Source organism: Homo sapiens, chromosome 12 (genome assembly GCF_000001405.40).
Source record: "Homo sapiens chromosome 12, GRCh38.p14 Primary Assembly".
Classification (NCBI taxonomy): Eukaryota; Metazoa; Chordata; class Mammalia; order Primates; family Hominidae; genus Homo; species Homo sapiens.
The window spans coordinates 5988465-6010543 of record NC_000012.12 but is presented as its reverse complement, the minus strand read 5'-3'; the positions used below and the strand labels follow the sequence as shown (position 1 = coordinate 6010543).

Here is a 22079-nt window from a genome sequence, read left to right as displayed (position 1 = left end):
TTCATATGGTTGGAGGTGTGTCTTCAGGGTAGATTCCTAGAAGTGAGATTCTTGGGTCAAAAGATAAGTGCATATGAAGTTCCCCTTAGACATTCCCAGATTCTCCTCTAACAGGTGAGATGTGGTTGTGCAAAACTGGAATGTCCATCAGTTTGGTTTTCGATCAGCGAGGTATGAGAGTGCATGCATCTCCACGGCCTTGCTGAGTGTGTTGTTACAGTTTTTATTTATTTTTTTTGCAAATTTCTTACTTTTCAGGAAAGAAATAGTATCTCAGTGTACTTGAAATTCATTTCTCTAATGATGAGTGAGGTTAAACATTTTATCATATGTTTAATTGCCATTTTTTGGTCTAATTTTGTGAATTTTCTGCTCATGCCTTTCCCCATTTTCCCATTAGAAAAGTTGTGATAAGAAACACATGAGATCTACCCTATTAATAAATTTTCCAGTGTACAATACCATATTGTTAGCTATTTGCAAGTTGTTGTACAGCAGATCTCTAGAAGTTTTTGTTTTGTGTGACTGAAACTATGCCCACTGAACAGCAACTTCCCATTTTCCCCTTCCCCTAGCCCCCGCAACCACCATTCTGCTTTTTGCTTCTATGAATTTGACGATTTTAGATACCTCCTGTAAGTGGATTCATGCAGTAGTTATCCTTCTGTGACTGGCTCATTTCACTTAGCTTAACATCCTCCAAGTTCATCTATGTTGTGGCATATGAAAGGATTTCCTTCTTTCTAAAGACTGAATAGTATTCCATTGCATGTATATACCACATTTTCTTTATCCATTTGTCCACTGATGTGCATTTGGATTATTTCTAACTCTTGGCTATTGTGAATAATGTTGCAGTGAATGTGGAAGTGTATAAGTACCTTTTTGAGATCCTGATTTCAATGCTTTTGGATGAATACCCAGAAGTGGGATTACTGGGTCATATGCTAATACTAGTTTTAATTTTTTGAGGAACCTTCTTACTGTTTTCTGTAGTCGCGACACCACTTTACATTCCTACCATCAATGCACAAGGGTTTCAATTTCTTCACATTCTTGTTAACACGTGGTATTTCCTGGTGTGTGTGTGTGTGTGTGTGTGTGTGTGTGTGTGTGTTTGATAATGGCCATTCTAGCACGTATGAGGTGATACCTCATTATGGTTTTGATTTGCATTTCCCTGATGATCAGTAATGTTGGATATTTTTTCATATAATTGAGTTTTTGGATGTCTCTTTGGAGGAATGTCTTTTCAAGTCCTTTGCTCATTTTTAAATTGGGTTATTTGCATTTTTTTTTTTTTTGCTATTGAGTTGTATGAGTTCCTAATATATTTTGGATATTAACCCTTTATCAAATGTACGGTTTGCAAATATTTTCTTCCATTCTGTAGGCTGCCTTTTTATTCTGTTGATTGTTTCTTTGGCTGCACAGAAGCTTTTTGGTTTGCTGTAGTCCCACTTGTCTATTTTTGCTTTTGTTGCCTTGTTTTTGGCAATGATATCCAAGAAATCGTCGCCAAGACCAATGTTGCAAAGTTCTTGTGTTTTCTTTTAGGAGTTTTATAATTTCAGGTTTTACGTATCAGTGTTTAAGTTTGATTTTGGGTTAACTTTGTGTATGATATAAGGTAAGGGTCCAATTTCATTCTTTTTCATGTGGACAGGTTCATTGTTAGTGTATTGAAACAAATGGTTTTGTATGTTGATTTTGTATTCTGCAACTGAATTTGTTTTAACTTCGCTGAATTTGCTAACAAATTTTTGGTGAAATCTTTAGAGTTTTCTATGCATATGATCATGTCATCTGCAAATGGAGATAATTTTACTTCTTTTTTGATTTGGGTGATGTTCATATCTTCTTGATTCATTGCTCTAGCTAAGACTTCTCGTACTATGTTGAATAGAAGTGGTGAGAGTGGGCATCTTTGCCGTCTTCCTGATTAGAGGAAAAGCTTTTAGTTTTGCACTATTCGGTGTGATGTTAGCTGTGGTATTTTCATTAATGGCCTTTATTTTGTTGAGGTAATTTTCTTCTATTCTTAGTTTGTTGAATGTTTTAATCATGAAATGGTGTTTGAATTATGACAAATGCTTTATCTGTATCTGTTGACATGATAGTATGATTTTTATCCTTTGTTCTGTTAATGCTATGTATCACCTTTATTGATTTTTAGACGTTGAGCCATTCTCCTATCTGAGGGATAAATCCCACTCCGTCAGAGTGTATTATCCTTTGATTGTGCTGTTTAATTCAGTTTGCTGTCATTTTGTTGAGAATTTTTGCATCTGTGTTCATCAGGAATATTGACTTGTAGTTTTTTTTAATGTAAAGTCTTTGACTTTGGTATCAGGGTAATTCTGGCTTCATAAAGTAGGTTTCCCACTTCAGTGTTTTGGAAGAGTGTGAGAAAGATTGGCATTAATTCTTCTTTAAATCTTTGGTAGAATTATCCAGTGAAAGCATCTGAGCTCTTATTTATTGAGAGATTATGATTACTAATTTCATCTCCTTACTAATGATGGGGCTGTTCAGATTTTCTGTTTATTCATCATTCAGGCTTGGTAGGTTGTATGTTTCAGGGATTTATTCATTTCTTTAGGTTATCCAATTTGTTAGTGTGTAGTTGTTCATAGTAGTCTCTTACTAACCTTTTTATTTCTGCGCTATCAATTGTAATGTAAGCTCTTCTATTTCTGATTTTATTTATTTGAGTCTTCTCTTTTTGTCTTGGTTAATCTAGCTAAAGCTTTGTTAATTTTGTTGACCTTTAAAAAACCAATTCTAAGTTTTATTGATATTTTGTATTCTATATTTCATTTATTTTTCCTCAAATCTTTATTATTTCCTTCCTTCTGCTAACTTACGGCTTAGTTTATTCATTTTCTAGTTCTTACATTGTAAAATTAGGTTATTTGTTTGAGATCTTTCTTACTGTAGACATTTACTGCTGTAAACTTTCCTTTTATTGCTTTTGCTGTTTCCCATAAGCTTTGCTATGTTGTGCTTTAGTTTTTGTTTTTCTCAAAATATTTTCTGATTTTTCTTTTGATTTCTTCTTTGACTCATTGGTTGTTCAAGAGTGTTTTTTAATTTCCACATATTTGAGAACTTTCTGAAATTATTTCTCTTAGCAATGTCTCATTTTATTCTGTTGTCAGAAAAGATACTTGGTATGATTTTAGCCTCCTTAAATTTGTTAAGATTTGTTTCGTGGGCTAGCATGTGAGCTATTCTGGAGACTGTTCTATGTGTGTTTGAGAAGAATGTATAATTTGCTGTTGTTGGGTAGAATGTTCTGTATTTGTTTGATAGGTCCACTTGGGCCATAGTGTTGTTTGAGTTCTCTGTTTCCTTATTGATCTTCTATCTGGATTTTTTATCCATTATTGAAAGTGAGATATTAAAATCTCTCACTATTATGTTGTTCTATATTTATCATCACTTCTGTCAATATTTGCTTCTTATATTTGTGTGCTTTAATGTTGGGTGCAATGTACTTATATCTTCCTGGTGAATTGATGCATTTATCACTATATAATGTCCGTTTTTTTGTCTCTTGTGACCATCTTTGACTTGAAGTTTAATTTCTCTAAGTATGGCTACCTGTGCTGTCTTTTAGTTAACATTGGCATGAAATATCTTTTTCCATCTTCTCACTTTAAACCTATGTGCATTCTTAAATCTAAAGTGAGTCTCTCTCTTGTAGACAGCACATAGTTGGATCTTGTTTTATATTTTATTTATTTATTTACTTAATTTATTTAGATGGAGTCTTGCTCTGTTGCCCAGGCTGGAGTGCAATGGCTCGATCTCGGCTCACTGCAACCTCTGCCTCCCGGGTTCAAGTGATTCTCCTCCCTCAGCCTCCTAAGTAGCTGGAACTACAAGCACGTGCCACCATGCCTGGCTAATTTTTTGTATTTTTAGTAGAGACGGGGTTTCACCATGTTAGCCAGGATGGTCTCGATCTCCTGATCTCTCATGATCTGCCTACCTCAGCCTCCCAAAGTGCTGGGATCACAGACATGAGCCACCGCACCTGGCTGTTTTATTTTATTTTTAAAAATTCATTTCAGCCACTTCATAGCTTTTGATTGGAGAGTTTATTCTACTTATACTTAAAGTAACTATGGATAGGGAAGGACTTACTGTTGCCATTTTGTAATTATTTTCAGTCAGTCTTGTAGCTTTTTTGTCCCTCTTTTCTACTCTTACTGCCCTTCTTTGTGTTTCATTGATTTTTTTGGGTAATGATGAGATTTGACTCCTTCCTCATTTCCTTTTGTGTATCTTCTATAGATATTTTCTTTGTGGTTACCATGAAGCTTACATAAAACAGCCTATACTTATAACAGTCTATTCTAAGCTTATAACAACTTAATTTCAATTGCTCACGAAAACTCTACTCTTTTACTGCCTCTCCCCCACTTTACATTATTGATGTCACAAATTATATTTTTTAATGTTGTGTATTCATTAACTGATTTTTATAGTGATAGTTATTTTTATAAGTTTGTCTTTTAAGTACTATACCAGAATTCAAAGATTTACACATTGTCATTATAGTATTAAAATATTCTATATTTGTTTATATATTTACCTTTACCAGGAATTTTACCTTTCATATGTTTTCATGTTGCTGCCTAGCATTCTTTTATTTCAACATGATGGACTCCCTTTAGCATTTCTTATAAGGCAGGTATAGTGGTGATGAACTCTTTCAGCTTTTGTGCACATGAGAAAGTCTTTATTTCCCCTCTATTTTTGAAAGACAGTTTTGCTAGACAGAGTATTCTTGGCTGCCCGTTGTTTTCTTTTGAATAGATCATCCATCTCCCTTCTGGCCTGCAAGGTTTCTGCTGAGAAATTTGTTGATAGTCTCATTGTGGCCCCCTTTTATATGAAAAGTTGCTTTTCTCTTGCTGCTTTCAAAATTCTGTTTTTGTCTTTGACTTTTGACAAATTGATTATAATATATGTTGTAGCGGACTTCTTTAAATTCATTCTAGTTGGAGTCTTTTGGGCTTCTTGAAGCTGGATGTCTATTTTCTTCCCTAAATTTATTCATTATTTCTACTTTCCATTGGGTTTTAATCTTATTCGTTATTTTAAATATTTGAACTATTAGCTCATTATCTGTGATATAGGTTGCAGTACTATTTATTGACATGTTAATATTTGCCCCAGTGGTGTGAGATAAGAATAATAATCATAAACCAAATTTTCATATGTGCATGGGCTTATTTCTGAACTTTTTTTCTGATTCCACTTGTTGTAAGCTATTCATATACCAAAACCACATTGTCTTAATTACCACACTGTCTTAATTAAGAGGAAATACCTCTAATATTTTGTCATTAAAGGCTTTATGGTATGTTTTATTGTCTGGTAGCACTAGTACCTCCACATAGCTTTATTCTAAAGTGTTTTCCTGGCTATTCTTTTATGTTTGTTTTTTCTGTATAGACTTTAGTGTCAACTTGTTTACCTCCATAAAAAGTTTGTTGGTATTTTTATTGGAATTGCATTAAATTTATACATTAACTTTGGGAGAACTGGCATTTTTATGATGTTAAATCATCCTATCCAAGAACAAGTTTGTCCACTTATTCAAGCTGACTTGTCTGTCTTCTAGAAGTGTTTTCAGGTTTATTCATTTGGGTTTTGCATATTTCTTGCTAAGTTTATTCCAAGTATTGAATCTTCCTTGTTGCAATTGTAAATGAGACTTTTTTCTTCTCCATTATGTTCTTTAACTACTTATTATTTGTGTATATAAAGGGTATTGATATCAATATATATAACATCTATATATCTATATATAACCTATATATATCTGTATATGTTAATTCCATATCCTATAGCTTTACTGAATTCTTTTATTATTGAGTTAGTTTTATCATGGATTCTCTAGGGTTTTCTGGGTATGATGGTTTGTCATTTGCAAATAGAATTGTTTTTCTTTTTTGTCAATTTTTGTGCCTCCAATTAATTTCTCTTGTATAATTCCATTAATAAACTTTTTAGTACAATGTTGAATAGCAGTGGAGTATCTTGCACACACACACACGCACACACACACGTGCACACACATATCATGTATTTTATATTATGAAAGTATCCCTCAATTCTCATTTTTGAGTGTTTTTTTGTCAAGAGTGATTGTGGAATTTTGGTGTTGGTGAAGGCTTTTTCAGCATCTATGGAGATAATCTCTTGATTTTTTTTCTTTAAATATATTGATATGGTATATTATTTGAAGAAATTTCCTAATGTTGATCCCACTTGGCTATGCTTTGTTATTTTCATAATGTGGTGTTGGATTCTGTTTGGTAATATTTTATTTAGTACGTTGGTTTTGACATTCATAAGTATTTTTGGTCAGCAATTTTAACACTACTTATTTAAATTTTCAGTAATATACATATAACATAAAATTTATCCTTTTAACTATTTTTAAGTATATATCCAGTGACATTATCATGAATGAGGTCAGGAGATTGAGACCAGCCTGGCTAACACACGGTGAAACCCCGTCTCTACTAAAAATACAAAAAATTAGCCGGGCGTGGTGGCGGGCGCCTGTAGTTCCAGTTACTCGGGAGGCTGAGGCAGGAGAATGGCGTGAACCCGGGAGGTGGAGCTTGTAGTGAGCCGAGATCTTGCCACTGCACTCCAGCCTGGGCAACAGAGCGAGACTCCGTCTCAAAAAAAAAAAAAAAAAAAGAGAGAGAAAGAAAATCCACATTGTTGTGCAACCATCACCACCATCCATTGCCAGAACTTCTTTCATCTTGTGAAACTGAAATGCTTTATTCATTAGACAATGATACCCCATTTCCCCCTTCCTCCAGCCCCTGGCAACAACCATTTTGCTTTCTGTCTCTCTGAATGAGACTACTCTAAGCACCTCTTTTGAGTGGAATTATGCATTTTTCCTATTGCGACTGGCTTATTCTGCTTAGCATAATGTCTTCAAGGTTCATCCATGTTGTCATCCTTTGTGTTTGGTTGATTTTTTTTTTTTTGTAGTGAAACATTTTAACTCCCGTTTCCTTTCTTTTGTGTATATTCTATAACTATTTTCTTTATGGTTACCATGGGGATTACATTTAACATCCTAAAGTTATAATGCTGTACTTTGAATTTATACCAGCTCAACTTTGGTAACAGACAAAACTCTGCTCTTATACAGCTCTATCCCCACACTCTTTCAGTTATTGATGTCATAAACATTACATCTTTATACACTGTGTGTTCAAAAACATAGACGTATATAAATTTTAATGCATTAGCCTCTTAAATCATGTAGAAAACAAAAAGTGAAGTCACAAACTAAGATTACAATAATATCCAGAACTTTTTTGGTTCCTTTTTATGATTTCAATTTCTTTATTGAAATTTCCATTCGGTTCATACATCATTTTCTTGATTTTGTCTACATCTTCTTTTAGCTCTTTGATAATTTTTAAGACAGTTGTTTTAAAGTCTTTCTTTAGTGAGTCTACCATCTGGTCTTTCTCAGGGATAGTTTCTGTTGATTTACTACATGAGACAGATTCTGCCAATGCTATTGTTGTCTAGGTGGGGAGACAGATATTTGGTGCTTCTTACTCCACCATCTTCCCCGTCTCCCACCCTGTAGGTTTTTTGTTTTTTTTTTGTGGTGGGGGAATACTGTCTTGATCTGGTTTAGATATTGGTGTTAAAACTGGTTTCATTAAAAGCTTTAAGAAGTTTTCTCTCCTTTTCAGTACTCTGGAACAATTTATGGAGCATCGGACTATCAGGTCTTTGGAAGTTTAGGAAAATTTCCTTGTGAAATCATTTGGGGTTGGTATTTTGTTTTTTGTTTCTTTTTTTTGGTGGAGTAACTTTCTTTAATTCCTACTAACTTACTCTAATTCTTCCATGTAAATTGGTGTGCTTAAGATTTGTCTTTTATCTACAGGAGTTAATTTTGTTAATCTCCATTTTCCTAGAAATTTATCCATTTCATCTAGATTTTCACATTTATTGTATAGAGGTCTTGAAAGTAGTCTTTTTTTTAAACTAAAATTTTGTTTATTGTTTGTATATACTCTAGGGTACAAGTAAAATTTTCACAGTAATCTTTTATAATATCAAAAATTCTTTTTAAATAGCGATTTTCTTTTGTCATTTGTTAATTTATATACATGTTTATTATCTTTTTTCTTGATCAAATTAACTCATGATTTGTCTTTCTGGATTTTTTTAAAAATCAAGATTTCAATTTATTTATTATGTTTACTGTTTTTATATTCTCTACTTTATGGATTTCTGCTTTTATCCTTGCTATTTTATGACTTCTTTCCTTGAATTTTCTTTTAGTTTACCTTTTGTGCTTTTCTATTTAATTGGAACTGGGAATTTCATTCATTTTCATTGTTTTATTTTTATTGACAGAAATGTTTACTGTTATGAATTTTCCTAGGATCACTTTATATGTATCCCAATGAGTCTGATATGTAGTGTATTTATTATCATTATTTTCTAAAGAAATTCTGTACTATCTGTTTTTATTGTCCCTTTCACCCAGGATTTATATCATAAATTAAAAAAATTTCCAAGTGTAAAGATCTTTTTAAACAATAATTAAAAAATTTTTAATTTTACTATACTCTGACGAGAGTATCTGTAATAGTTCTACTTTGTGGAAGTTACCGTTATTTTCTTCGTGATCTAATACATGATCAGTTTTTGTGAAGGTGTATTCTCTATTATCAGGGTGTAGAGTATGAGATCCCTCGCTCTCTTCCTGTCACCCCTCCATGAGAACTACATATTTTGATTTTAATGTTTGTCTTCTATAGTCTTACTTACCTTTTCCCCATTTTATCTATCTGGTTCTGAAAGGGATGTCTAAAAGTATCCTGTTATTAGTTTGTCTACCAATGTCTCCTTGCTTCTCCTATAGTTTTTGCTCTATGAAGATGTTGTCTGGTGCATAGATATTCACAGCTGTTATGGCTTCATTGTGAATTATACTGTTCAGAATGCTCTTATTAGTCACATTTAATCTTTTTTTTGGCTAGAATTTTACTTTGTCTGATATCAAAATCTCCATCCCTGTTTTCTTATTGTTTGATATCCTTTGTCTGTCCCTTTACTTTAGCCTTTCTGAATTTTAGTTATATAGCAATAGTTGGGTCTTGCCTTTGAGCCGAATTGAAAACCTTTTTGTTTTAGTAGACAAGTTAAGCCCATTCTCATTTATTGCCATCTTGTGTTTGATCTTCTTTCGTCATTATATTTTATAATTGTTTGTTATATATTTTTCATTTATAAATGTGGTGATACGTTAAGGTGTCTAGGAAGGTTTATGCTTTTGTTCCTGTCATTACCTTTGAAGTTATACCTTTCTAAAATGCCTTCAGGCCCATATTTTTAAATTTAAGCATTCATTAATCAGTTTTTCAGTTTTTAATAGCATTCTTTAACTTCTACCTGTGGCTATCCAACAATCAATGAGGTTATTCTAACTTTTCTTGTTCCCTCCCCTCTCCTCCCATTGTCGAGTTCTATTATTTCTACTGTCACAGCATATAACATTTGCACATTAGTCTTCCATTCTTCGTTTTAGTTTTAGATCTATGACTATATAAATAAAAATGCTCACTTTAGTTGTTTTGTTAACATTTCCTAGTCATCTCTTAGTTGGAGGAAATGTTCTCTAGTAGATTTCTTTTTTTTTTTTTTTTTTTTTTTGAGACAGAGTCTCGCTCTGTGGCTCAGGCTGGAGTGCAGAGGCGCGATCTCGGCTCACTGCAAGCTCCGCCTCCCAGGTTCACGCCATTCTCCTGCCTCAGCCTCCCGAGTAGCTGGGACTACAGGCGCCCGCCACCACGCCTGGCTAATTTTTCGTATTTTTTTTTTTGTAGAGACGGGGTTTCACCGTGTTAGCCGGGATGGTCTCCATCACCTGACCTCGTGATCCGCCTGCCTCGGCCTCCCAAAGTTCTGGGATTCCAGGCGTGAGCCACCGCGCCTGGGTCTCTAGTAGATATCTTAAGAAGGGCTTATGTGTACAGAATTCCATTAATTCCTATGTATTTAAAACTGTTTTTCTATAGCATTGATGCTAGAAGGGCACCTTGGCTGAATACAGAATTCTTGATTCACATTTTCTTTCACTAAATTTCTGAAAAATGCTGCTCCATTGTTGCCTTGCTTTGTATATTGCTTTTGAAAATTCTGATACCAATATAATTCTTTTGTCCTTGTAAATTATTTGATCTTTTTGCCTGAAGGCCTGGAAAATTTTTTCTTTATGTTTGAAGTCTAATAGTGTACTGTAATATGTCTCAGAGTTGACTGTTTTGGGTTAATTTTTCCGGACATCTGGCACATGACTCCCATACATAGATTTGGTTCTTTTTTGATTTCCAGAATGTTTTCATGAGTTATATTCTTTAAGTGTTAGTTCTGTTCCATTGTTTTGTTTTCTCTTTTAAGAGTCCATTTTTTCTCCTGTCTTACATTTTCATTACTGTCTCTTTGACCTTTATACTTTCTTCATTAACTCATTTTCATTCTCTTGATTGGTTTTTTTTTGCTTTTCTCTGATGCTCTTTATTAAATTCTTATTTTGATGTCATCTTCCTTGGGTACTTATAATTTAGTCTTTATTTCAGAGTTGACTTTGCACTTTTATTACCCACCCCCACCAAGTTCACTGAGTTCTATTTTTATTTATTCTTGTCTTTGTTCATTTCTCTTCTTAGTTTTTGAAATTCTGATTCAAGGTGGTTTTCATTTGTGCAGATGTTTGAGTATATTTAATTCAGTTTGAGTATTGTCTCATAGTTTTCTTCTATGTCATAACATTTTGTTTTTTGTTTTTTCCTTTTTGTGGAATTTTCATTAGATGAGGAGTGTTGGTTCTCATTTTCTGATCTTTTGAAGAAGCTTTTATGGACTTGCTTAATCTGTTCATTTTGTGAATTTTGGGTTTTACAAGATTTCTGGTTCAGTGACCCTCCTTTCTATTAGTATAGAAAAGTCATTTCCTTAGTGGTGTGTGTGTGTGTGTGTGTGTGTGTGTGTGTATGTGTGTACATGTGGATCCTGAAGGATTGTGTGGCCTCTGATTTTTCAGGTTTTTCTGGACCCTGACTTTCCCGTTTGCTTTATTTTTATGTCTCCAGTCACTTTCCAAGCACCTTTCCATTTCTTTTTGCTCCCAGTCCCCTTGAAACTATGCTTTTCAGGTTGTCACCAAATATTGCGTGTGTTTTTAGCACCTGCTCTGGTCTGTTGGGATACTTCAAAATATTTTTGCCCTTAGGATAGGCTTTTCTTTCTGGTGGTAGTGGTGGTTATAGAGAAATTTTAGGCTTGCTGCCCACTCTCTTCTCTCTTCTTTTCAGTTCTCCTTGGATTGTCCTTGCTCATGACAAAGGCTAACAGTTAGAGGATGAGGGATTTTTGCTGGGTGGGATTTGGTGTTTTTTCTCTTTTACTTTATTTACGGCTATTTTAAAGTTTGGATGTTTTTGGCTGGGTGCAGTGGCTCACGCCTGTAATCCCAGCACTTTGGGAGGTCAAGGCAGATCACGAGGTCAGGAGTTCGAGACCAGCCTGGCCAACATGGTGAAACTCTGTCTCCACTAAAAATACAAAAGTTAGCCAGGTGTGGTGGCGCATGCCTGTAATCCTAGCTACTTGGGAGGCTGAGGCAGGAGAATCGCCTGAACCCGGGGAGGCGGAGGTTGCAGTGAGCCAAGATCGCGCCATTGCGCTCTGGCCTTGGTGACAAGAGTGACACTTCTCTTGGAAAAAAAATAAAAATAAAAATAAAAATAAATAAAATTTGGGTATTTTCTTGTTTTCTACTTATGCTGAAAGCATGCTTTTTTCATAGTAATTTAATTTGTTCTTATTGTTCTTCACTGTGTTCAGAGGATATATATCTCCCTACATATTTATTTGCCTTGTAGTTTATTTTATTCTCATGACCGTTGGGGCTGGCTCCTTGACTTGACCATATATATATATATATATATATATATATATATATATTTTTTTTTTTTTTTTTTTTTTTTTTTTTTTTTTGACGGAGTCTCGGAATCTCGGCTCACTGCAAGCTCTGCCTCCCGAGTTCACGCCAGTCTCCTGCCTCAGCCTCCCGAGTAGCTGGGACTACAGGTGCCCGCCACCATGCCTGGCTAATTTTTTGTATTTTTAGTAGAGTTGGGGTTTCACCATGTTAGCCAGGATGGTCTCGATCTCCTGACCTTGTGATCCGCCCGCCTCGGCCTTCCAAAGTGCTGAGATTACAGGTATGAGCCACTGTGCCCGGCCAACTTGACAATATTAATAGCTGAAGTATTAGGGCCCACTTTGGCTACCTGGACGTCTTTTTGAACATTTGTGTTTTGCTAACAATTCACTTTAGTATCTGATATCATTACATTTTGACAATCAGCCAAAAGTTTTAATATAATATTCAATCACAAATATTTGTATTGTCACTTGGAAAGATAATGAGTAAGAAGATGTTGAAGAAAAGGAGAGAGATGAGATAAAATGATTTCAGGAGATATTTATGAGTGATATACTTTACTCTGTGATAATATTTTATAACTGTGCAGTAACATTTTGTTATATAACTCTAATGTATTAATTTTTAATTGGTTCGGCCTAACTTTCTCTATGTCCTGAACATTGGAATGTGTTAATATATATGGCTCATTAAAACTAATCACTAAACTGGAGTATAATGTGATGGTTTGTTGGGAGGTAATTTGGTATTCTGGAGATGGAAGGACCTCAAGTTTTACTATACCTACAATACAGCAATTTACAAACTATTGAATTTATTTTGTGTCTTATTCATAAAGATTTGGAGATCTGTTTGTTAAACATGCACATGTGAGTCATGCACTATTAGGTAGGCATTTCATCTATATTGCAACTAATTCTCACAAGAATACTAAAAGGTATCGATTATAGGCCTATTATGCAGAGGAGATAGGAGAGGATCAGTAAAGTTAAGTAACTGATCCAAGGTCACAGTGCAAGCAAGTGAAACAGAAACCAACCCCTAGTTTCTCTGGCTGTAAAGTACCCATTACACAGTCACAGTTCATCTTAGGGTGGGCAGAGCCATTCTCACTAACTTGCCTTGTGTGAGCTAAGACCATTTCTTTGCCTTGTGATTTATTCCATCCTTATGGCAGTTGGGCTGACTCCTTGACGTGACAATATCAACAGCTGCGTGTTGGGGATCACTTGCAGCATGGATGTTAGTAAGCCAGTAGTATTCAGTACTGTCACTTGGAAATGACTGACTGCTCAAGGACATAGGGGATTTTTAGTAGAACTTCTGGGGAGGCTGCTTAGCTCTGATGGTGCTTCCAGACCCATCATTTGTCAGTGGTTGTGCTGCTTGACAGTAACCCCCATAGGGAGAGGTTGGCTCAGGCTTGGCTATGAGTGAGGGATGTTAGTGGGGCCTCCCTGCTCCACCGAATCTGTGTCTCAGCTCTTGGGCATGTATTCACCTGCCATTGTAGATGTGGTCGTGGTTTGTCTGGAAAGCTTATCTCCAACTTTACTTAGGTCCAAGATTAGCTTTCAAATCATTTATGGTGGTGGTGCCTTCAATGTGAGGATTTTTACCAAATCATCTTATGTAGGTGCAAAATGATCAGTATTCACCAATAATGTTTTAATAGGAATCTTGAGAATTTGCCAATTATGTGAATGACTCAGGGTCAAATGAGGGAGCATTGAGACTCAACCATTTTTTTTTTTTTTTTTTTTTTGGCTCTGGAAATATTTCTCCTGTGCGATCTCTTAAGGGATTAAGTCAACATGGTCACTTGTACCATTACCTTAGTCACTTGGCAGCTGAAAGGACACGTGTCTTTAGGTGAATTTTCTTTACAATGAGATCATGAGCTCATAGCTTGCTTAGCTTTTCTTAATTTCCACGAGTCATAACACCCCTGGAACTTAACTTTGTTTTCTGGGCCAAGGCATCCCTGTAGAATGGATTATTCACACTGTACATTTAAATTTTTTAGAAGTGTGGTTCTATAATTTGCCACATTTTATGTAACAGGAAAATATTTAATGGCCAAGTGTTACTTACCTAAACCTCTCTACCTCTCAGAGCCCCAGTTTCCTAATCTGTAAAAAAAGGAGGAAATTGTTCTATATGACCTCAAAGGGCCTGTTCCATTCTCTACTGTATTTATCTGTGTGCAACTTGGTCACACCTGCCTGTCTGCATGTAGTAGGCATGGGGGTTTGGATAACGTCGCATCCATCCTCTGCTTCTCTCTGTCCAGGCGTGTGCACAGGCAGCTCCACTCGGCACATCGTGACCTTTGATGGGCAGAATTTCAAGCTGACTGGCAGCTGTTCTTATGTCCTATTTCAAAACAAGGAGCAGGACCTGGAGGTGATTCTCCATAATGGTGCCTGCAGCCCTGGAGCAAGGCAGGGCTGCATGAAATCCATCGAGGTGAAGCACAGTGCCCTCTCCGTCGAGCTGCACAGTGACATGGAGGTGAGAAGTACTTTCTGTGGATCCGTGGTAAGGCAATAGAATGTCAGGAAAACCACCTGGACCTGGTGGCAGTTGCTTTTAGTTGATGCTCTTGTTAGGAGCTCTGCCTTCTGCTTAAGTGGAGGAGAGGAGTACCACTTTCTTAGAGGGGTTTATTGCCATCCCCTTGTCTTGGCGTGATTTCATGTTGTTCCGGGCTCAGATTTGCAAGATGGAATCACTTTTAGATAGCATAAAATTGTGAATTTAGTGCCAGTTTCTGGCACTGGTGGAGAATTGGGATTGGCATCAGGATTGTTCACTCGGAAGGTATTATGAGTCCAATGCCTAAACCCTGTAAGCTTTCCAAAGGGAAACATTTATGGCCTAAATTAGGTCTTTTGAAAATATTTAAGGCCTACATAAAACGTCAGGCTCCAAAATTTGAAAAGAAAACTGCAAAACTGATATATATATATATAAATGATTGATTAAATGCTTACAAAAGGTTACACTATGCCAACTTCTTTACTTGTTCGTGTAGAAATCATAAATATTTCATTGTGTGAAAACAACTTGTAAGCTAGATTTTCTCACTTCGCAAGAATTCCTGAATTTGAACAATAATTGCAGAAAAATCTTAGTCATATATCAAGTGAGTAACTCATAGCCAAAAATTAAAAAATCAAAATGATAAAAAATCCTTCCAAAAATTTTACAGCAAAATTATATTCATTGTGGAATGTGAGTACATTTTAATGTGTTTGATATGATATATGGTGGGGCTGCCCAAGAAAGAGCGTCTAGTGGCACACATACACACAAAGAAGACTTAAAGTGGTCCCATTAAAACACCAGTGTCCAACCTTTTGGCTTCCCTGGGCCACACTGGAAGAGGAATTGTCTTGGGCCACACATACAATGCATTAACACTAACGATAGCTGATGAGCTAAAAAAAAGGTCTGGGCATAATTTTCTGATATCCACCACCACAGAGAAGCAAAAATGTCCTTGCATTCAAAGGGTTGGACACAGCTGCTAGATGCTCTTGGAGACACTGCTCTGATGAGTTGGCAATAAGGCGACTTTCCCAGCCTGTCTTAAAGGCATTGCCCTTCCCTGTTGAGTCACATAGACTCAAGGTTCCTTTTAATCTCCAGGCTTTTAGGTTCTTGGTGCATGGCCACCCGTACAGTATTACAACAGCCTGTTTTCTGGTCAAGCTCTGTAAAGTCAAGCTCTGTTTTCTAGTCAAGCTCTTCTTTATCTTAGAAGAGCTGCCGACAAATATCAAGGTTTGTGGCTGATGTTGCAGTTGAGTGTGATGAATGTGCAGGAACTCTCGGTAACTTCCCTAAAAACCTAGGATTCCTCATTGCTAGGACTACGGATGAGCTCTTTCTTCTTTGTGCAGGTGACGGTGAATGGGAGACTGGTCTCTGTTCCTTACGTGGGTGGGAACATGGAAGTCAACGTTTATGGTGCCATCATGCATGAGGTCAGATTCAATCACCTTGGTCACATCTTCACATTCACTCCACAAAACAATGAGTTCCAACTGCAGCTCAGCCCCAAGACTTTTGCTTCAAAGACGTATGGTCTGTGTGGTAAGAACATTTTCTCAACTCCTCTTCTCCCCCTGCTATACATTTATAAACCTTACTTGCTCTACTCTGAGGCTCTTGGATGCTTATATTTCAGGGTCTAGTAGCGAGGGTCAGATTCTGGTGAGGATCAAGAATGGCCTGTCTCTGGCATCAATGTTTTTGTACCCAGGGCCACTCAGTTTATCTTTTTTTTGTTTGTTTGTTTCTCTAGGGATCTGTGATGAGAACGGAGCCAATGACTTCATGCTGAGGGATGGCACAGTCACCACAGACTGGAAAACACTTGTTCAGGAATGGACTGTGCAGCGGCCAGGGCAGACGTGCCAGCCCATCCTGGAGGAGCAGTGTCTTGTCCCCGACAGCTCCCACTGCCAGGTCCTCCTCTTACCACTGTTTGCTGAATGCCACAAGGTCCTGGCTCCAGCCACATTCTATGCCATCTGCCAGCAGGACAGTTGCCACCAGGAGCAAGTGTGTGAGGTGATCGCCTCTTATGCCCACCTCTGTCGGACCAACGGGGTCTGCGTTGACTGGAGGACACCTGATTTCTGTGGTGAGTCTCCAAGTTACCTCTGAAAATCCTGGAGACCAGCTAACTGGGCTTGCTCAGCCTCTCTGTGCCCCAGATTCTTTATCTGGCTAATAAGGATGAAAATCCCTGTATTTCGTATGACCTGGGATTCCAGTTAGGATCAAATAAGATGGAAGATATATATATACATATACATATATGTATATGTGTGTGTGTGTATATATATATATATACACACACACACACACATATATATGTATATATATACACACATACACTCTGCACGTAGAATTTTTATGTAAATTAATGCATGGTCCTTTCCATTAGTATTTCTATAGTTCAGACAAATGCGATTTTAATGTGTTAGACACATATAGGCATCTGTAAAGGGCTGTGTAACCAGTCACATTGAATTTGAAATTCCACCAAGCTTTAGCACACACTTACAGTGTAGTCCATGCCTGAGCAGGATTTTGAAGTGCAAGTAGAATCATTGGTTGCCAAGAGTCTTCTCAGTTATAAACACTGCAGGATTGCTAGTGCAGACAGCCCCTCCCCAAGGTCAGCTTCCCTACCTGGACTTGGCATTTATTTAAAGTACAGGGGAAACTGAAATGAATCAGATATGGCTCCTGTCCCTCAGGGGTGCTGGAGTGAAAAGAATACTGAACTTGAAACCCTCAGTCATCAAATATAATCCTCGACTATTTTTTTGAGGGAAATCAATATGTACATGCCTGTTAGAGCCTCAGAGTTTATCATCATGGAACTGTCAGCAGCTCTGAGCTGGGTCTGGAGGACTTGGGCATCCTAGTCCCAGCTCAGCTGGTGGATGGACTGTTCTCTTAGTCTTTCTGGACCTCAGTTTCTGCATCCTAGAATGAGATAGTTGGCCTAGATAACCTGTAGGTTCCTTAGGGCTCTGATTTTCTGAGGCCATGTGGATGATACTGCCTCCTCCCAATCAGCCTGCAAATCAAGGGGCAAATGTTAGTTTCTAAGTTACTGGAAGCACTTTCTCTGCATACTGATTTCTTTGTGTACCTCCTGGTTATTTACTGTGCACACAGAGGGAAATCTTTGGTGCTCCAAATCCTTGGAAACTTCGTCCATCACCTGCCTGCCTTGGTGCCTTGAGGATGTGAGGAAGTTGTTGAGCGAATCAGAACGAGGGAAATGAATCACCTTGTAGCTTCTCTCCCAAGGCAGTTCTAAGCTGTGTATTCCTAATTTAAAGATGCTTTTCAAGCATAAAAGACATATGTATTCAAAAAAGGACAACAAAACCTACTAAGGACACACAGGTTCACAACATTTGTTAGGACTAGATTTGGCTGCTAGTAGCAGAGAATTAAAATTTTCTGTCATACAACTGATCGGAGGCGGTGGCTCCAGCTGATTCTGGGCCTCAAACTGGATTCTAGTTCCTTGCTCTGCCCTCAGTTGGGTGTGGTCTTTTTCTTCATGGTCTAAGATGGAGTTCTAGCCATCACATTCATGCTCCAAGGAGGAAGCTGAGGGAAGGAGGGAAGAGGGACAAGGAGCATGCATAGCTGTCTTTTAAAATGGACTCCTGGAAGCTGCCATGGGATACTATACTTTCTTTTACAGTTCATTGGGCAGAACTAGTCATGTGACTACACTTAGCTGCAAGAAAGGTTGGGAAATATAGTCCTCATTCTGGTGGTCATATGCCCAGCCTAAAGTTCTGTTTCTATGGAAGGTGGGGAGGATGAAGATTGGTGGAAAATAGCCGTCTCTGCCCTGGCAAGTTTGTCTGATGATTAACCATGTTGAATCAGCTGTGCCCATTTCACTCTGGCTGGTGTGGGCCTTTGCAAGTGACCTCCTTCTCTGTCTACAGCTATGTCATGCCCACCATCTCTGGTCTACAACCACTGTGAGCATGGCTGTCCCCGGCACTGTGATGGCAACGTGAGCTCCTGTGGGGACCATCCCTCCGAAGGCTGTTTCTGCCCTCCAGATAAAGTCATGTTGGAAGGCAGCTGTGTCCCTGAAGAGGCCTGCACTCAGTGCATTGGTGAGGATGGAGTCCAGCACCAGGTAGGAGCCTGGGCCTTTCACTTCCCATGGGGCTGCTTCCCTCTTGGGTCAAAAGGGAGATATGTTCACCAGTGATTGGCCTCTTCCAACTGTGGCAGCAGGGTTGACTCTTACGGGGATCATTAGGGATAGGGAGGCAGTATTGTGTAATGGCCTTGCATTCAGATAGCTCTTGGTTCAAATCCTGCGTCTGTCATGTATTATCTGTGGGATTAAACATCAAAGTGTTGTTACCACATTATTATTATGATTGTTATTACTATTGTCTTTATGATTATAGTCATTTAAGCAGAATGATACAGAAATCCAGGAGGGAAAGGGAAAAGAATATTTTGTGTCATAATGTCTGCCATTGTTAAGAGAGATTATGTACCTTGATTGTGCTAAACCCAATATATTCATTATCTTAGTGTTTTTCAAAGGTGTATTTTGCAGGGTATTAACAGTTACTTGTGGTCAAGTGAGTTTAAAGAACACCAGCTAACCATAGTTAAACAGGTTTCTTTATTGCAGAACTCTTTAGTCTTTTTAATATACTACTGTACCTTGCAGATATTTAAGAGAGTTTTTGTTTCTCAAACTTATTTGATCATGGAGCGTGTGTGTGCATGCGTGTGTGTGTGTGTGTGTGTGTGTGTGTGTGTGTGTGTGAGAATCCCTTGGGACTGGGATTCCACAGAATACATTATTGTATCCTGTGTCACTCATAAATACAAAAATCCTATGAAGAAACTAAGACCTAAAGAGCTCAGTAAGTTACCCATGGAAACAATTTATAAGTAATGGAGTTGATCTCAGAATTTGAAGCTCTATGTGACTCCAAAGATCTGGCTCTTTCCACTATATGAAATGGCCCTTTTGCTGCATCTTTTTTGGGCTGATTTGCTTGGGAGTCACTGAGTCATCAAAATTTTTTTTTTTTTTTTTTTTTTTTTTTTTTTTTTTTTTTTAGCTCTATGGGAGTTATTGAGTGTATTTTGAAAGCATATTTACCAGACTCCTCCGTCTTGGCCTAAAATGGCTGTCATCTCTCTTCAAAGTTGACCCCGTGTATATTTGTAGGATCTGGGGCAGTGTGTGTCTGTGCACATGTGAACGTGTACATGTGAATGTGTGCAGTGGCCCTGTCCTTCATGCTTGACAGTGATACTACAGACCGTGGTAGAGATAGAAGCATATTTGGCTTCTAGGAAAGGAGAATGTGTTTTGTGATCATGGACTGCACTCAAGACCTAATGTCTTCATCGCCAAGGAGGACCATTCTTGCTAAGTGGACCAAGTAGAGTGACTTACCACTATGTTCAACCACGAATAGGAGAACTCATGGTAAATGTAGCTAACCAGCCTGCAGAATAGTGAAAACAACATTTCAGTAACTACACTATTCTGTCCCTGATGTTATAAGCCAGGATAGGGACCATTTTATATGATTCTCCCCAAAGCTCTATAGGGTCATAATCGCACATCCTATTGAATGGATGAGACTGAGGCTCAATGGCATGAGGTGATAAAGCTGGGATTTATATTCATAACATCAGTCATCCTATAGTGTCCTAGCCCTGCCATTGACCTCACTGGAACTGTGAGCTGAACTCTGGGCTAACTCATGTTCATTGGAGCATGGGTATCCATTAGGGCTATTACTTATAGTCACTTATAGTGATCTCATCTGCTCTAGTTTAGTTGTTGGGCTTTGTCCTAGTGGATCCAATTTGTCCTCACCGTGGAATAGATGAGCTAAAGTCCTACTCTACTGCCATATTTCAACTTGCCAAGTTAAGTAATTGCCTGTTCTGTGATATTCCCTAAATGAGTTGACAAAACCTTATATTCCTCTCCTTGATTTGTATAGCTCCTGAGCTCCTGCAGGGCTTGAATGATGTGGACCAATTTACATATGGGGCTAGAAACCTGTGGTAATTTCAGACCGGTTTTACTAGTAGTGGCAAAATGCTTGCTCTCAGAAGGAGACAGAAATGATCTTTTCCTTGGCGTTCTGTGATGAGAAGTGAGCTCAAGTTTGCAGCATTTCTGGCTCATGAGTGTCAAATGTCTGCAAGGTCCTGAGAGCAGGAAGACTGTGAACTTTATCTTAGTGTCTCCAAACCCCTATCCTTTGCTTCTCCTTTCTGGTGCTATTTTCCCCTTTCACTGCCCGCCTCATCTTCAGTCCAACACATTAGAATATGCATTCAAGTTGTATAAAGTTTCCATCCAAATATTTTGGATGTAGAAACCGTCTTATAAATATATTTTAAAATCAGGTAAAATAAAATTAGTTAATTGAAAACTTTGAAAACAACACAGCCACTTTTAGTGATTTCAGAAAATACAGTTTAAATGAATGAAAACAAACATCATATCCAGCCACGTGCATTTTCAACTTTGACTTTCAAAGCAGAGAAAGAATAAAAACCTAATGTGAAGAACATTTCCATTAAAGAAACTTTTTTTTTTAAACTGAAAAATAAAGCCCAGAAAACCTTTTATTAAGGGAAATAAACTAGGGTATAAAACTATTGTAGTAATTTCAGAAGAGCAAAATATTCACTAGTTTTCATAGCTCTTGTTTATTTTACAAAACAGAGTCTAAAGAGGTGAGTCTTTGGAGTAGGATCAGAAGGGACCAAGAGCCTGCACAGGCTGTCCCTGGCTCAGTGGAGCTGCTGGTGGTGGTGGGTGCTGTAGTGACAGGCACAAGTTTAGCAGGAACCTTGTCCATGGCCCAGAAGCTCTGGCCCGTAGCCTCCTTCCCTCTCCCTTAGTCTCTGCTGTCCCTAGCTGGGCTCAGTGTTTGCATTTCATTTGCATCCCCCATCACATTGGCTGGTGGTGGGTGGTGCATGATGAATTGCTTGTGTCCTTCTTTGACCTTGGGCCTTGAAAATGTCAGTTTTCCCACCTTATTCTCTGCAGGCCGATCTTTTGTCACCTTCATTCAGACTTTAACTCCTGCTGGCTCTCATACCGGTTCTGGCCTGGTGATAGTCACGCCTGGGCCCTGGAACCTGGCGATTGCGACTGCCTGCCTGCAGTTGGCCTGGGCTTGTGCAGCAGTGCCATCTGCCGGCCGCGTTGCTGCATAGCCTGGCCAGGCCTGGAGAGCCACTACGGTTGCTTTTAGAAGCTTGGCCTTAGCTTGTTTTTTAAATTTTTAATTTTTATTCTTTTCCCTGCCTTGGGCAGGCCTTAAGCTTCCTGGGAAATGAAAATCCCCAGCGGAGGAGGTTGGACACCTGCTTTTGGTCATCTGTTGTGTGTTACCCATTCTCAGGATAGTTGGAAAATTGTGTGATTTATTCTTGAGTTTAAATATCTGAGGTCTGCGTTTAAAAGGAGAGAAAAAAGAACACT

The 22079-nt window shown here is 37.9% G+C and overlaps 1 protein-coding gene across 2 annotated transcripts in view, besides 1 other annotated feature; it reads left to right on the top strand.

The window, feature by feature from the left end:
* VWF (von Willebrand factor) overlaps positions 1-22079 on the top strand; it is a 175794-nt gene that overhangs the window by 114127 nt on the left and 39588 nt on the right. For both annotated transcript variants that reach the window (NM_000552.5, XM_047429501.1), the window contains exons 35-38: positions 14322-14542; positions 15937-16129; positions 16341-16682; positions 18526-18725. In NM_000552.5, the coding sequence (NP_000543.3) occupies positions 14322-14542; positions 15937-16129; positions 16341-16682; positions 18526-18725 (956 nt within the window). The remainder of the gene's footprint in view (positions 1-14321; positions 14543-15936; positions 16130-16340; positions 16683-18525; positions 18726-22079) is intronic.
* Positions 13787-14081: a silencer, noted in NCBI's record as "tiled region #15487; HepG2 Repressive non-DNase unmatched - State 23:Low, and K562 Repressive non-DNase unmatched - State 24:Quies". NCBI's record gives its function as "represses a minimal TATA promoter and a strong SV40 promoter by Sharpr-MPRA in HepG2 and K562 cells {active_cell/tissue: HepG2 | K562}" and the evidence as "EXISTENCE:reporter gene assay evidence [ECO:0000049][PMID:27701403]".